General features: G+C 41.0%; 1 long non-coding RNA gene across 1 annotated transcript in view, besides 2 other annotated features; it reads left to right on the top strand.

Annotated features, from left to right (window-relative positions):
* Positions 1–7,915: 7,915 nt before the first annotated feature.
* Positions 7,916–16,698, top strand: part of LOC101928627 (uncharacterized) — a 74,667-nt gene continuing 65,884 nt past the window's right edge. The window contains exons 1-2 of the long non-coding RNA NR_110412.1: positions 7,916–8,680; positions 15,801–15,906. This is a non-coding gene — a long non-coding RNA (uncharacterized LOC101928627). The remainder of the gene's footprint in view (positions 8,681–15,800; positions 15,907–16,698) is intronic.
* Positions 15,014–15,219: a silencer, noted in NCBI's record as "fragment chrX:36451102-36451307 (GRCh37/hg19 assembly coordinates)". NCBI's record gives its function as "represses an EF-1alpha promoter that drives an FKBP-Casp9 reporter gene in an ReSE screen in K562 erythroleukemia cells {active_cell/tissue: K562}" and the evidence as "EXISTENCE:reporter gene assay evidence [ECO:0000049][PMID:32094911]".
* Positions 15,267–16,466: an enhancer, noted in NCBI's record as "MED14-independent group 3 enhancer chrX:36449855-36451054 (GRCh37/hg19 assembly coordinates)". NCBI's record gives its function as "activates an origin of replication core promoter dependent on BRD2, BRD4, P300/CBP and CDK7 cofactors, and independent of MED14, by STARR-seq in HCT116 cells {active_cell/tissue: HCT116}" and the evidence as "EXISTENCE:reporter gene assay evidence [ECO:0000049][PMID:35650434]".

The following is a 16,698-nucleotide window of genomic DNA, read 5'->3' as shown; positions in this document are numbered from 1 at the left end:
TTACAAATTACCCAGTCTCTGGTATGTCTTTATTAGCAGTGTGAGAACAGACTAATACAAGCCCCTTTCTTTTGTGCGATTTCTTCCTTTTGGAATGAGAGTGTTTATCCAATGCTTGTACCTTCATTGTACCTTGGAAGTAACTAACTTATTTTTGATTTTACAGACTCGTAGGTAGAAATGTCTTGCCTTGTCTCAAATGAGACTTCAAACTGTGGACTTTTGAGTTAACATTGGAATAATTTAAAGCTTTGGGAGATTCTTGTGAAGGCATAATAGTATTTTAAAATGTGAGAAGGACATGAGATTTTGGAGGTTACAGCAGTGTAATGATATAGTTTGGATGTGTGTCACCGCCCAAATCTCATATTGAAATGTAATATTCAGTGTTGGAGGTGGGGTCTGGTGGGAGGTGATTGGATCATGAGGGCGGATTTCTCATGAATGGTTTAGCACTATCCACTTGGTACTATCCTCATGATAATGAGTAAGTTCTCATGAGATCTGGTTGTTTAAAAGTGTGTAGCAGGTCTCCCATTGCTCTCTTGCTTCTACTTTCACCAGGTGACATGCCTGCTTCCTCTTAGCTTTCTGCCATGATTGGAAGTTTCCTGGGACCTCCCCAAAAGTAGATGCTGCTATGTTGCTATGTTTCCTGTACAGCCTGCAGAACCATGAGCCAATTAAACTTTTCTTTTTAAAGTAAATTACCCAGTCTCAGGTATTTCTTCGTAGCAATGCAAGAACGGCCTAATGCAATATATATGAGTATAATAATAAAATTTTCCTCATGGGTTCATTGTAAACATCAAATAAGTAAATACAACTAAAGAATACGAGTTGGCATTCAATTACCACAGTGTCACTGTCTGCTGTCCTTATTATTACCAAATATACCACATTTCTGAGATTGTGAAAACACTAACACATAATTTGTGATAATCTTAAGGGTATAAAAATCAGAGTCCTTGGCAGGAGTTGTACACACTTATGCAAATGCACACACACACACACACACACACAGCTCATAATAACAGTGAAAATATGTGACAGACAGTCTCGAGGTCTATGATGATTACTATGAAAGAGTCAGAGTGGTCATCAAATCCTTTTGAAATTTTTAATAACCAAGCTTTCTTGACAAGAATTTTTGAGACAAATAAGTGTAAATGAATTTTGCTTTTTATTGCTTGGCACTGTAATAAGTTTACGGGTTATGTGTCTTTTAAGTTAGAATTGAATATAGACACAATACAGATACTGTCAGTTTTAGTTATAGAGCAACTGTTACAAAACGATGCAATGTAACTTTTTTCTCATATCCCTAAGAGGCAACATTTGGGAAACAAAATGCATTTAGACATTCTACTGACCAGAGGTGGATTCCCAAGGAAGTAAATTATGCTTCAGCATCATCAGCACCCTTCAATTGCATGGACCCTTGAGTACATTGGAATTTTCTGGGAGTTGTAGAGTGTTCTAGGTAGAGAGACGAAGTAAATTTGCCAAGATGAAACCTGTCTTATAAGCATCGTTGGCAAATTTCCTGAAGTTTCTGGGAGAAAGGAATCTGGATTTCCAAGAGTATGCAAAAGTGTTGTTATTTATTTTCTTATTTTAAATATATATTCAATTTCCTATATTTTCATAATCTTGTATTATTTTCCTTAAAGGGACACACTCAAATTGTATAAACTTCAAATTCCACAATATCGGGACCTGCCCATGTGATTGACTTCTTATCTTTTGTGTTAACTTCTACTACTTGATCTCAGACCCTTTCTTTACCCTACTTACCCTGTTTAATATTTGTTAGTCTCTTCAAACCTACTTAGTGTAAGAAAGGCAAATATTTCCAAATTAGTTTCTATTTCAAAATCAGTGAGAGCTGATGTAAACTAGTACTACAGATACGATTTGAAATGTCAGTGAAAAAATATATTGATCTATGTTTATAATTATATTCGAATTGGTGCTAAAGCATACATATATATAACAAATAATTATGTCTCCAAGGCCACACCATGTGTTAATCAATGGGAGTCAATAATAGTCTTTCCTACTGATTTGAGAATTATCCTATACATTAGTTATTATCACACAGTCTTCATTAAGTTTTGTTACTGCAAAGTTAAGTATCTGTAAACATATTGATGCCAAGTACAGAATTAAATATACGACATGCATTGTGTGGTCAGAATCTTATAGAATAAATCCACTTTTGTCATTTATTTCCTAGATATTCCAAATCAGTCTTAGAATCATGATTATCTCTTTATTGAGTTAAGAAAATCGGTTTTTAGAATAGAGGAAGACAAACTTTTTAAGATTAGAGTCACAGGACTGGCATAGGAAGAAATAAGAACCAGCCACTCAATGGCCTCCAGTGTGAATGGCACAGTGCAATTAGAGTTTGGCTGCCTTTCACTTTCAGGGAAAAGCCACTACTCAGAAATGCAGTGTAGGCAAAAATTGGGTCATCAAATGTCCTCCTTTTACTGAAAGTGTTCCAGAAGAATTCTTTTTTTAGACTGTAGCCCTGATTCTGCAGTTTCTAACCAGACTCAGCTGAAACTGTTTAAGGGAGGAAATAGTAAGCATTTTCAGCTATATTACAGTAGCTTAGCTCAGAGACAACAAAAGTCCAGATATACACTAACCTATACTTAGGAATACACATGTTTACACAAATTCTATTTATCTTAAGCAAGCATTGGAAGTATACTTACTTTTTCATTCTCAGAACACTAATGCAGGAGTGCCACAAATCTCTTTATTTACATTGATTTTCAACTGTACACTCCAAAATCATACTAGCTAAAATAGTCCTATCTAAGGAATAGGGGATTTTCACTCCTAAATTCAGAGCTTGTGCTGATATAATCATAGTAACTTTCATCCTTTCCTTGGACACTAACACACAGAAATAAAGGATTTCTCTCACCCTTTTTGATTACACAGCTTTTGACACTGATAGACTAATTTCTTAAGACAATCATCCTAAAATGTTTCCCATTCTATGCCCTAAGGAAGGCATATAGATAATTTAGCTGTTAACAAAAATGAGGATATTTGCTTTTATCATCCTCATCATCATAACCATCATCACCCATTATACATATAAAATAGCATGTATAGCATATAACACATTTAAAGAGCATTGAGGTGAACAATACAATTGCTAGCCAATATGATGCCTTTGTGTGGCTAGAGGAAGCTCTGCTTCACGTTGCAAGTCAAATTCATCTCTTCCCATGTGCCTCATTCTGGGACACAGACTAAAGGGGCCCTAGCTACCTAGGGCATATTCTCATTATGGCAGAAATACAAATTGCCCGCAAAGGGTGGGTGTAAACACACAATGCCTCCTGACCTAGGTTTGAAACTGGCACACTGTCACTTCAATCCACTTTGTATTGCCAAAGCAACTCACATCGTCAAGTCCAGAATTAATGGGATGGAGATAAATAGACACACTCCTCTCAAGAAGATGGGGTGAGAGATAAATATTTGCTGAAAACTAATGTAATTTATCATTGGCATACTTTTGGTACTTTTATTTATTTAAAAATATTAGACACGGGCCGGGCGCGGTGGCTCACGCCTGTAATCCCAGCACTTTGGGAGGCCGAAGCGGGTGGATCACGGGGTCAGGAGATCGAGACCATCCTGGCTAACACGGTGAAACCCCGTCTCTACTAAAAATACAAAAAATTAGCCAGGCGTGGTGGCCGGCACCTGTGGTCCCAGCTACTCGGGAGGGTGAGGCAGGAGAATGGTATGAACCCGGGAGGCGGAGCTTGCAGTGAGCCAAGATCGCGCCACTGCACTCCAGCCTGGGCGACAGAGCAAGACTCCGTCTCAAAAAAGAAAAAAAACATTAGACACGTGTCTGATAATGCCAATATTCTTTGCGAAGTTGATATCATAGTTTAATATTTTTGTTGACATTTATTTATACTTTGTTTCTCTGTATATGTGTGTGTTACTGTAATATCTTATATTACAGAGCTTTAAGTGGAGTAATTTTTGGAATTTAAAGTACAATCTTTCGGATAGAATTTCCTTTACTTCTGCCAAGTAATTGATGATGTGTTCAGCTTCAGAGGTTGTATGAATTCAAGCTCCCACAGGTTTTGAAGAAAGAGTGAGTTTGTTAGGAAAGACATAGCAGTCAAATTGGCAAAGGGGCCAAATATTCTCCTGAGAAAAGATATATATATAGTGTCTGACTTCTGTCCCTCTCAAGGTTCCACATTCTTGAAAATCTTTTATAAATGAACTGGTTCAGAGAGCAGTAGGAAGGAATTTGGAGTGATAATTAAGGCAATTAAGGCCTAAATCAGGCCTTAAACTAATAGGATGTATCATTCCAGGAAGGTTAACTGCCTAACTACCGACCCCTAAATCTTAGTTGCTTAATATGACACAAATCTAGTACTGGCTCATGAAATTGTTGTGTGTGTGTTTGGTGGATGATCTTGCATGGAGAGATACAGGACCCAGACTTTTCCTTCTTATAGCACTGCTAACTTGTAGAGCCTCAAGGTCTCCTGCTAGGTTTTCATCTTCCAAGTACCAAAAAAAAAAAAAAAAAAGAAAGAAAGTGGAGAATTCAAGAGCACAGGGCCCTGAATAACCTTGACTGATACAGCTCTCCCCACTATCGCTTGCAGTTCTCAGATCAAATGTACCTAGAATGCAGCATCCTAAGATAAGGAGAAATGGGAACAACCCAGGCTTTTTCCTCATTTCTCCTAGAACAGGACTACCTGCAACACTTGATCTCAACAAGCCAAGTTATCTTTGGGGTATAAAACCCAGAGTGGAGTGCTTTTTGGGGTCCCTCAGCTGTGACATAAAGTGGAGTACCCACAGAAAAACTTCATTTGCCCTGGGAAGCTTTCCTGAGCCTTGGGGAACTGGCTCACTGTGGATCCTAGGCCTCTGTTTATTCTTGCTGCCCATTTGTGTATAATAAATTTGCTTTCTCTGATTCATGCAAGTGATGTGTCTCGCTAGACTCATACTCTGACAGCCAGGTTTGTGCAAAACCTCTGCTAGCTGAGTTTGTGCAAAGCTTCCTGCCAGATCTAGGAACTGGTGCAGAAATTGATGAGGCATTTAAAGTCCTTCCCTGGCATTGGTAACTTATGTATAGCGTTCCCCTCTCGAGGACTGGTACTGGTGCACAGTATTCTGTGTCACAAATGATAGTTCAAGAGATTTATTGATGGGTTAGATCTGGAAGTGGTTTGTATCACTTCTATCTACGTGTCCTCATCTGCTGCAATGAGGGTCAGGAAAGGTGTCCATAAGAAAAGGAGGCATGTACAGTGGCTCACTCCTGTGATCCCAGCAATTTGGAAGGCAGGGATAGAAGTGTCGCTGGAGCCCAGAAGTTTGGGACCATTTTGGGCAGCAGAGCAAGATCTTGTCTCTACAAATAATAAACAAATTAGCCAAGCATGGTGGTGTGTGTCTGTTGTAGCAGCTACTTGGGAAGCTGAGGTGGGAGAATCACTTGAGCCCAGGTGGTCAACGTTACAGTGATCTGTGACTGTGCCACCTCATGCCAGCCTCATATAAGAGTGAGACTCTGTCTCAAAAAGAAATAAAAGAAAAGGAAATGGGTTTGCTAAATAGAAAACCAGTGTCTGTGATGCATGGAGTGCTAAGGAAAGTAGGTTGAACCTGAAAACTTCCTGTGGCTAAATAACTCAAGTACCAGGCTATGGTTTAGGGATTAATGGCTATACAGACAAACCCCAGCTTGTAATGGTTCCATTTATTCATTTATTTATTTACTTATTTTGAGATGGAGTCTCGGTCTGTCGCCCAGGCTAGAGTGCAGTGGTGCGATCTCTGCTCACTGCAAGCTCCGCCTCCCAGGTTCCTGCCATTCTCCTGCCTCAGCCTCCCAAGTAGCTGGGACTACAGGCGCCCGCCACCACGCTTGGCTAATTGTTTGTATTTTTAGTAGAGATGGGGTTTCATCGTGTTAGCCAGTATGATCTCGATCTCCTGACCTCGTGATCCACCCACCTTGGCCTCCCAAAGTGCTGGGATTACAGGCATGAGCCACCACGCCCAGCCTGGTTCCACTTATATTTTGACTTCATGATGGTGAAAAGTGATACACATTCAGTACTTTGAAATTGAATTTTGATGTTTTCTTAGATTAACAATATGTGGTATGACACCTGCTCATAGGGTTGAGCAGCAGCAGCAAGCTGTGGCTCCCAGCCAGCCACACAATCAAAAACTGATACGCTACAGTGTACTGTGTTGCCAGATGATTTTGTCCAACTATAGGCTAATGTAAGTGAGCACATTTAGGTCAGGCTAGGCTAAGCTACGATAACTGTGATGTATGGTAGGTTAGGTATATTCAATTTTCAACTTACCATATTTTCCACTTGGGATGAGTTTATTGGGAGGTAACCACATGGTAAGTAAAGGAGCATCTGTATATTAATAGTAAAATGACGGGTTATAATGTTGGGAGGCTATGATGGTATGCAGTAGTCACAGCTCACTGTAACAGTGGGAGAAAATAGATCATTTTATCTCCACATTCTCCCATTCCCTCCCCACCTCTTACCTCCAAAATCACCACCACAACAATAGGAACCAAAAAAAGCAAAAACAAAATCATAAAACCTGAGCAGCCACAACTCGACCAGGAGAGGTATTACTGTATTACAGAAATGATATGTGGCTATTGAAACCACTGTTTTTCTGTTTTATTTTGTTTTTTGTTTTTTGTTTGTTTGTTTGTTTGTTCTGAGACGGAGTCTCGCTCTGTTGCCCAGGCAGGAGTGCAGTGGCGCGATCTCGGCTCACTGCAAGCTCTGCCTCCTGGGTTCACGCCATTCTCCTGCCTCAACCTCCTGAGTAGCTGGAACTACAGGCGCCTGCCACCTCGCCCGGCTAACTTTTTGTATTTTTATTAGAGATGGGTTTTCACCGTGTTAGCCAGGATGGTCTTGATCTCCTAACCTCCTGATCTGCCTGCCTCGGCCTCCCAAAGTGCTGGGATTACAGGCATGAGCCAACGCGCCCGGCCAAAACCACTTTGTTTTTAACAGTGACACCATAAGGTTGCAATAGCATTAGTCAAAACTGGTGGGTTCTGCTTACCTGAATGACCTTGGCAGGGCAATGAAGATTTGGGAATTGTCTCCCTAGATTGCTAGGCACAGACATTGGTCTCTGGCTTCACAGCGAGTGGTGGTTGCAGAATCACTCACCTTCTAGTGGTGTTTCAGCTCTAGACTGAAGTAATTTCCACAGCATACAATATTCCAGTAAATATTCTCCATCCAAATACCAGGAGTGGGATGATCCTGGTGATGTGCCTATGAGGGGAGGGCTGGATAGTCTTGCAGTACTGATAGGGGAATTCATAGAAATGCTGAATTGATTATTGAAACTACTGTTACCATATTTACACCCCTAGCATGTGAAGTAGGCTTTTTTTCTGTTACAGTTAGAATGAGGAAACTTATGTTGCTGCCTGTTATGGAGAGAACAAAATGTATTATCAAAAAGCATACCCATATTGTAGTGCCAGGGTGATGTAGATGTGCACTTCTACAGTTTGCATGTCTGCTTGGCAGGATTGGGATTTCACCATAACTTATGAGTCCTCTGAAGCAGCACATGGACATCTGCAGGGACTCACTTTCCTTCACTCAGAAAGAAATTGACCTTGAACACTACCATCAGCTGGCAAAGTAATGATCCCATTTCCTGTCAAAACAAGCTATCTATTTGCTCCAAAAATAACTGTTGTGTAAGAGAAAAAAATGCAAAAAAAAATACCCTGAATCAAGAATGCTTGAGTTTACAAATTGCATTGTTTGTACCCTGTGTGTTGGAGGTATTATTTCAGGTCAGTCATTCTTCTTTTGATTGTTTCACAAGGCTGCCAGGACAAAACAGTAGCACAGTGATGAGCCAATGGTCTCCTGGGGAAAATATAGTCAAATGACTTTTCATTTGTTTATCCTGCTTTCCCTTGTCCCTGATTTTTCTTCTTGTGTTTTTTTTTCCACAGCATCATAGGATATTCTATCTGTTCTTAGTGTGCCTAAGGAATAACCTGACTTAAAGTGGGTTTTTCAACTCTGATGCTCATGTTCTAGGTTGCACATTCTGCAAGCTGGATCAGGTTGTAAATCTTTGACTTTTGAGCATGAAGATCTCTATCCCCATAGCACAAAACCATGCTGCTCGCAAAACCACAGATGCTCAAGAGCTGACACAGTGACACTGTTTTATTATGATGCATTGTTCCTTGTCTCTGAGCTCTGAGGATTGTTGACATTTACAGACATTGTATGTTGGGTAGTACTAGGAATTGGGATCTAGATATTGACCTCTAGACATCCTATATTGCACTTTGGAAGTATTCTGGGGCAAAGAAAGAACTAGGTGAATACATAACCAAGCAAGGGAGATTCACACCTTACATTTTCAGGATGAGATTATCAGTTGGTGCTATATTTAAATGCAGGATTTCGAAGATTAAGCACAAGAAGAGGCCTGCCATGTTTATACTCAGGAAGCAGCCCTGAGAGTAAGCCAAGTGAATGGGGTCCATCACTGAATTCTTAAGATGAAAGGGCAGGAAGGGCCTTGCATTTGTCCACTCAAGGAACTAGCCTGAGGATAGGTAAGTAAAAGGCATGCAGGTTGAATTCCCCCTTTTACCTTAAGTTTATATGAATCCTTACATGTTAGATGAGTATCTTGAAGGCAGCAGATGTCTGGTTTGTGACTTTTCTTTTTTTGTAATCCATTCTGACAATCTGCAATTTTTAAGTGGAGTATTTGGGACATTTATGTTGAATGTTAATATTGAGATATAAAGTACTGTTCCATTTATCATGTTAATTGTTACCTAGATACTTTGTTATTTTTTTCATTCTGTTATTGTTTTATAGTCCCTGTGAATTTTATGCTTTTAAGAGGTTCATTTTGGTGCACATTGAGCTTTTGTTTTAAGATTTAGAACTCCTTTTAGCATTTTTTTGTAGCATTTGTCTGATGGTAACAAATTCCCTCAGCTTTTGTTTGTCTGAAAATAACTTTTTTTCTCCTTCAATTATAAAACTTAGTTTTTCACTGGGCACAGTGGCTCATGCCTGTAATCCCAGCACTTTGGGAGGCCAAGGCAGGTAGATCACTTGAGGTCAGGAGTTTGAGACCGGCCTGACCAACATAGTGAAACCCTGTCTCTACTAAAAACACAAAAATTAGCTGGGTGTGTTGGTATGCACCTGTGGTCCCAGCTACTCAGGAGGCTGAGGCATGAGAATCGCTTGAACCTGGGAGGTGGCGGGTGCAGTGAGTCAAGATTGCGCCACTGCACTCCAGCCTGAGTGAGACTCCATGTCAAAAAAAAAATTAAAAGAAACTTAGTTTTTCTGGTTACAACATTTTTGGCTGAGGGTTATTCTGTTTAAGGAGGCTAAAGATAGGACCCCATTCCCTTCTGGCATGTGAGGTTTTTTTGCTGAGAAGTCTGCTATTACTCTGGTAGGTTTTCTTTTATAGGTTGCCTGATGCTTTTGTCGTACTGCTCTTAGGATTCTTTTCTTTGCGTTGACTTTAGGTAGCCTGATGACTGTATGCCTTGGTGACGACCTTTTTCCAGTGAATCTCCTTGTAGTTCTTTGAGCTTTTGTATTTGGATATCTAAATCTCTAGCAAGGCCAGGGAAATTTTTCTCAATTATTTCCACAAATAAATTTTCTGAGCTTTTTGCTTTCTCTTCTCCATCAGGAACACCATTTCTTCTTAGATTTGGCCATTTTACATAATCCTATAGTTCTTGGAGACATAGTTCATTTCCTTTGATTGTTTCTTCTTTATTTATGTCTGATTGGGTTAATTCAAAAGCCTTGTCTTCAAGCTCTGAAATTCTGTATTCTACTTGTTCTATTCCATTCTTTAAAGTTTCAACTGCATATTGTAATTCCTTAAATGTGTCTTTCATTTCCAGAAGTTCTGATTGGCTTTTCTTTAAGATGTCCATCTCTTCAGAAATGTTTTCACTCATATCCCGTATTTTTTTAATGTTTTTATGTTATTTTCCCCCTTCCCCTGGTATCTCATTGAGTAGCTTAATAATCAACCTTTTGAATACTTTATCTGGTATTTCAAAGATTTCATCTTGGTGTGGATCCATTGCTTGAGAGCTAGTGTGATCTTTTGGGGTTGCTATAGAATTTTTTTTGTCATATTACCAGAATTATTTTTCTGGTTTCTTCTTATTTGGGTAAACTATTTTTTTGAATTGTTTTTGCATTTATCTTTGGTTTGACTGTGTTTTCTTTTATTTCTTTTTCCCCCTTAGGGGATGTGACTTAATGATTATAGTTTATTATAGCCTAATTCAGCTCTTGGTGTTTTCAGGATGAAGACTTGTATGTGTTCCTTGGTTCTAGAGAGTCTTTGTATGATGGCTTTCTCAGATGCTGATTCTAGTGTTAATGTGCTTCATGTGAGCAAATTCACTGTCTTCTATAGGGTTGGAATGACAGAAGTCTCTTGAAACTTATCTCATTCCCCTGTGGTGTGCACTTTTTTATTTATTTATTTTTCCTCGGTATTTTATTTACTGAGTTGAATAGTTCAGGCTTCAGGACAATAGGGGAGGTGTCCACAGGTAAAAATTGCTGACAGTAAAGCAGGTGGGTAAATGTAATACCCAATGGTGGGCAGAAGTCCCAGCCTTGACAGAGGTGGCTGAAGGAGCTCTTAGTGAAAGCATTGAGGTCTTATCAGAGAGAAGAATTTGAGCTACCTCAGCTCCCTTGCCAGGCCAGCAGGAAAGCTGTCCACCTCCCAGACATACTCATGACCCAGTGTTGCATCTATTCAGATCAGACTGGCTCCTCTTTTCATCTCCAGGAATGGTTATATTCCAAGTATAGAGGAATCGTGACTCTAGCCCTCGTGCAAGCCTGCACCTGCAGGGTGCTCCTTCTGTGGGGATGCAGTCACCCTGAAGTGTTCCAGAGAGGCTGTTTATAGGTGCACCCATGCCAAGCTCCCATGGGAAAAGCCCCAACTTTGTCTGTGCTGGTGGATGAGAGGGAAAAGAAGTCCTCTTCTCCAAGACCCTTCACAAGCACTAGAGTTGCCTGACTGTTGGGAGAGAGCTACAGACTTTCCCTGCTGAGCCCAGCACTGCAACTGTGCTGCTGCTGAAAGACACTTCCCAACAGCAGAAATATCTGAGACTTAAGGTTTGTCATCCAGGTTCTTTTGTCCCACGGGGTGTTCCCTTGAGATGGTGCACTCCCTATTCCTCCAGGAGTAGAAGTCCCTGATAACCAGACTACTGTGAATGCTGTTGCTAATTTGGGTCTAGCTACCCAGTGTGGCTGCCATGCTCCAGCTTGGCACTGTGGAATGTCTGTAGCAGATTCAGAAATGTGACCTGTCCTCATGTCTCCCAGCAGTGAGTACCAGCACCAGCTCTGATGGGGGTGGTAAGGGCATGATTAAGACTCTGTGAAATTCCTTGGTTATAGATAATGTTAGTGTGTCGGCTTTCTCAAATGTCAGTTATAGTAGTAATAAACAGGTCATGTGGACAGACTCAGCACCTCCTCCTTAGCCAGGGTGATGCACACAATGTTTATAAGCTGAGGTCACATGCAAGTTTTCTTCTTTCTGGGTGCAGTGTTATTATACATGGAGATGCTGTGATGGACTGTATTTGTTGGCTTCCAGCCAGGAGATGGCATTTGCAAAAGCGCACCAGCTGCAGTAGTAGTGTGCGGATTTGTGCTTCTCTTATGTTACCCAGGGACAGTACTCTGGTTTCTTAGGCAATGAGCAGGGCCATAGAGCTCCCAAAAGTTTCTGTTCTTTGTTTTTAAGTACCAGGGTGGGTTGTGGGGCAGAGCCAGGTGGGTGCTGTTTCTGGCAGGTCTGTGCTCTGACTCTGCATGCAGGGCAAGCAGTAGCCCTTGTGGGAGTTGGGGGTGGTTTTCTGACCACTGGGATAATGTTCCAGAAAGGAGTATATCTGCCTTTGCTGCACAGAAGTGTTTGTGCAGGGAGTGGGGAGTAACAGCCTGCAGTAAGCCCCGCTCTGCTCCCACACCCTTGGCAAGACAGATCTCACATCCACAGTTTTTCACTAGCAGCAGCAAGCTAAGTTTCAGGCTATCTATGCTCAGAACTCAAAACTGCCCCAGGTCATAAGTCTTACCCACGAAGACATGAACCTTGGCTTTCAACACCTGCCCCTCCCAGGCCGCCCATACAACCGGGATGCCCAGCTCCCAGTGCTTGTGGCTGCAGCACACTTTCCACTCACCCCCAAATCTGGCCAAGGGAGTTCTTTCTCACTTGAGGTTATATCATGAAATTCAGTTGGGAGCTTTTCTCAACCTGCAACCATTGCCTGAGTTAGTTTGCAGACTTCTGCAATATCCCCTGTGAGGCAGAATAACGGAGGGCCTCCCTCGATCTGCACTGGAGACTGGGAATGCGCCCAAGGCTCTTCCTGCTGCTGTTCCTACATTTATATTCATCACTGCTCCCTAAATCAGTTCCAGCACTGGGTAGGGTTAAGGCCTTCCCCTGTGGTTTGTATTTCCAGTTTCCCTGGTTGGGAAGTATATCCTTGAGGCAGTCTCCCCTCATCTTACACTTTCGTCTGGCTCATGGCATAGACTGCAGCCTGCCAGTTCTTTCAAAGAATGTGTGTACTTCAGTTTTCCTATTAAGTGCCTGCATTGCTTCTTGGAAAAAATTCACAGTGTGAATATCTATACACAATTTTGCCTTTCCAAGTGGGAGAGGTGTGCTAACACAGTCTCCCATCTGCCATCTTGGAAAAAAGAAAAGTTTACATTTTTTAAGATTAATTTTCTATGACCCCTATTAGTTCCTATTGCTTGAAGGTTGGCTAGATGTATAAATGTCTTATAAAACTTATTTGTGTGTTTTAATGCATTTTTAGTAAGACCTCTAGGTTTCAAAGCTGACTGACCTGGGTTTGCATCTCAACTCCTCTACACACTGTCTGTAGGGTTAGAGGGGGAAGATTTTTAAGTTAATGTCACTAAGCCCCTATTGGTAAAATTAGGACAATAATATAGCTTATCTTGTAGGGTTGTTATGATGATTAATTATATTTTGTAAAGGTGTCTGGTAGACATGCTAAATAAAAATTAGCAATGATGATGAAGAGGAGGATCATGGGAGTGACGATGATGATGATGATGATGATGTTGATTACTGTGATGGGGAAGCTGATGGCAAATCATTAAGTGCCTGGTAGGTCAGACTAAAATATTTTATGTAGATGTAATGTGCAGTCAGATATTAGAGATAGAGATATTTAAAGTCACTCTAGCCTTTCAAATCCAGCAGAAGCAAACAATGAGGAATCAGAATGATGTAATCATGACTTGGCCAGAGTGCCATGGATGTTGTCACTTCACCAGGGCTATTAGATAATTTAGATAGCTCTCAAGCAACAGGAGGTCCTGGTGCTTTCATAATCAACCAATTGTAACCAGATATCACTTCCTGTAATTTCCACTGAATTTCATCGCACAGAGCTACTTAAAATGTATAATTCATAGCAGGAAAAAACAATAGAATTTGTAACTCACAGACTGGGTATGTAACTGCAGCTGTCTTATTCACATAACTAATTTAATGATACATAAGACATTAATGTGTTTTGTTTATGTCAGAGAAGAAGCTCAGTTCTAGATGTATTGAAGGAGAAATTCTAGATCCCAAACGTATGCCAATGTACAAAACCCCAAGTGAAGAGGCCAAGCTGCGCACTTGATTTCTCAAGTCGCCCGCGCGGCCCTCTTCCAATCTGCCCCTTCCCCTCCCTTCCCCTCCCTTCCCCTCCCTTCCCCTCCCTTCCCCTCCCTTCCCCTCCCTTCCCCTCCCTTCCCCTCCCTTCCCCTCCCTTCCCCTCCCTTCCCCTCTCTTCCCTTCCCTTCTCTTCCCTTCCCTTCCCTTCCCTTCCTTTCCCTTCCTTTCCCTTCCCTTCCCTTTCTTTCCTATTCTAAAGCTTTTTCATAAACTTCCACTCCTGCTCTGAAACTTACCTTGGTTTCTTCTTCTGCCTTGTGCTCCTCAGTCGAATTCTTTCTTCTGAGGAGGCAAGAATTTAGGTTTCTTCAGATCTGTAGCAACGGATCCTCACTTATATCTCAGACGACTATGTAATACCCTAGCATTCCATAGTAAAGTGGGGGTGGCTGGTACATGAAGTAGGGGAGATGGGGATTGCTGTAGCTTATGTGGAATCCATCCATCAAAGGGCATCCCTAGTTATTATCCCATCCAGCTGATACTAGGTACTAACCAAGAGCAACTCAGAAGAGGTTATAAAAATTTTTACTGAAAAATTACCCCTCTCTCTCTCTGTCTCTCTCTCTCTCTCTCTCTCTCACACACACACACACACACACACGCATATATATACACACACACATAAAGAGAGAGAGAGGCTCCCATTATCATAAAATGGTTTCAGGGTCCTAAAATCTAACATGGACCTTATAATGGAAAGGTGTGGGCAGCAAGCCACCCAGGTGCCGAGGTAAGAGACTGAAGGCACAAGGTGTTCCAGTATAATAAAGAAAATATATACAATAAGAATAGTTATACTAGAAATAGATTATAGATATGATGATATATGAATATTATTAATCATTAGTTTGTAGCATTACTCTTTATTCCAATATTATAATAATCTTTGTTCTACAATTATAACCTAGGAAAAACCAGGCCATACAGAGACAGGAGCTGAAGGGACACGGTGAGAAGTGACCAGAAGACAAGAGTGTGAGCCCTTTGTCACGCCCGGACAGGGCCGCTAGAGGGTTCCTTGGTCTAGTGGTAGCGCCAGTGCCTGGGAAGGCACCCGTTACTTAGCAGACTGGGAAAGGGAGCCTCCCTTTCGCCCAGGGAGTTAGAGAAGACTCTGCTCCACCACCTCTTGTGGAAGGCCTGACATCAGTCAGGCCCGCACGCAGCCATCCAGAGGCCTAAACATGTCCCTGTGATGCTGTGCTTCAATGGTCACACTCCTGGTCCACTTTCATGTTCCGCCCTGTACACCTGGCTCCACCTTCTAGATAGCAGTAGCAAAATTAATGAAAGTATTAAAGTCTTTGATCTCTCTGAGGAATACATAGAAGAAATAATGATGTAAGCTGTCCCCTCTCTCTCTCTGCCTCGGCTACCAAATAGGGAAGGGCCCCCTGTCTGGTGGACACATGACTTGCGTGACCTTACCTATCAATGGAGATGACTCACACTCCTTAGCCTACCCCCTTGCCTTGTATACAATAAATAACAGCATGGTCAGGCATTCGGGGCCACTACCGGTCTCCATGCCTTGGTGGTAGTGGTCCCTTGGTCCCAGCTGTCTTTTCTTCTATCTCTGTCTTGTGTCTTTATTTCTACGATCTCTCGTCTCCGCACACGAAGAGAAAAACCCACAGGCCCTGTAGGGCTGGACCCTACAGAAAGGCATTTAGATATTTAAAATCTCAATAACAATAGCATTCTTGGAGTAAAATGACAATGATTCACCATGACTTGTAATTCTATATACAGCGTTTAGGCTTTATTATTATTAGTTATAATTTTTGTATGGATTCTTACCTCTGAAATGAGACTCAAGGGCTTTTAACATCACCCATATTGCCCATACACATTTCCTCTCCCCTCTTTGTTCTTCAGCCAGATCCGTATCTGAATAAACTTTTACCATTTAATTTTTATCAAGCAAGGCAACAACACTGAAACATCTCTCAAAGCCTGCCTAAAAAAAAGAAAATTACAAATTGGTGGAATCAAACACTTCTGAAGAGAAAAATAAAACATGACTTTGCCCTGGTAAGTTATGTATTTTTCATAACTATTCTGACTTATGCAAAGCCACACTTGACACGTTTGTCTGTAACTGGGAGAATGAGGTAAGATTGTCTGCAAAGACATTTGTGTAGTAACTGCCACTTGTCTTTTTGCTTTCGACATTTATTATAAAACCAAGATATAAGGGCTTCACAATGGAAATAAATGAAGTCCAGTTGCTTTAGTTCCACTAGGCTGTATAACCAACATGACCTCATTCTTGTGGTATTTGGTGATGTCCATACCCATACTACTAAATATTCTCCTTGGCTAGCAGTTGTCATGGTAACTATCTAAATTCATTCCAAGAATACATGACACATGATATGCGAAGTCTCTTCCTCCATATGTGCAGGTGTTTGGAGGAGCCTAGTCTCTTAGTCGAGCCATGCTAAAGACTAAGAAATGTCCTCCCCTCCCACATTTGTTATAGTTGAGTCACTAAGACTGTAACAGTTGGTGATAATGTAGTTTTCTCAATTATTAAAAAGGGTAAGTTTTGAGATGTCATTTTAGATTGTTCCTTTGGCTGTTGGTATGATACCTTTCTGTTGTTATTTAATTTCCACTTCTGATAAAATACAAACTGTGGTTTTAATTTTTGTTATTTTATTCTCTCCAGTATAAAACTTTATTTTTTCTTATATTCTCTCTCTCTCTCTCTCCCTCCCTCCCTCTACCCACACACCCCCACATGCTGGGTCTTCAAAAAGTTCATGGAAAATGTACATTATGAAAAAACTATGCATGGATTTTAAAATATTTTTGCACCAA

Source organism: Homo sapiens, chromosome X (genome assembly GCF_000001405.40).
Source record: "Homo sapiens chromosome X, GRCh38.p14 Primary Assembly".
NCBI classification, from domain to species: Eukaryota; Metazoa; Chordata; class Mammalia; order Primates; family Hominidae; genus Homo; species Homo sapiens.
This window is presented reverse-complemented; position numbering and strand designations above follow the sequence as displayed.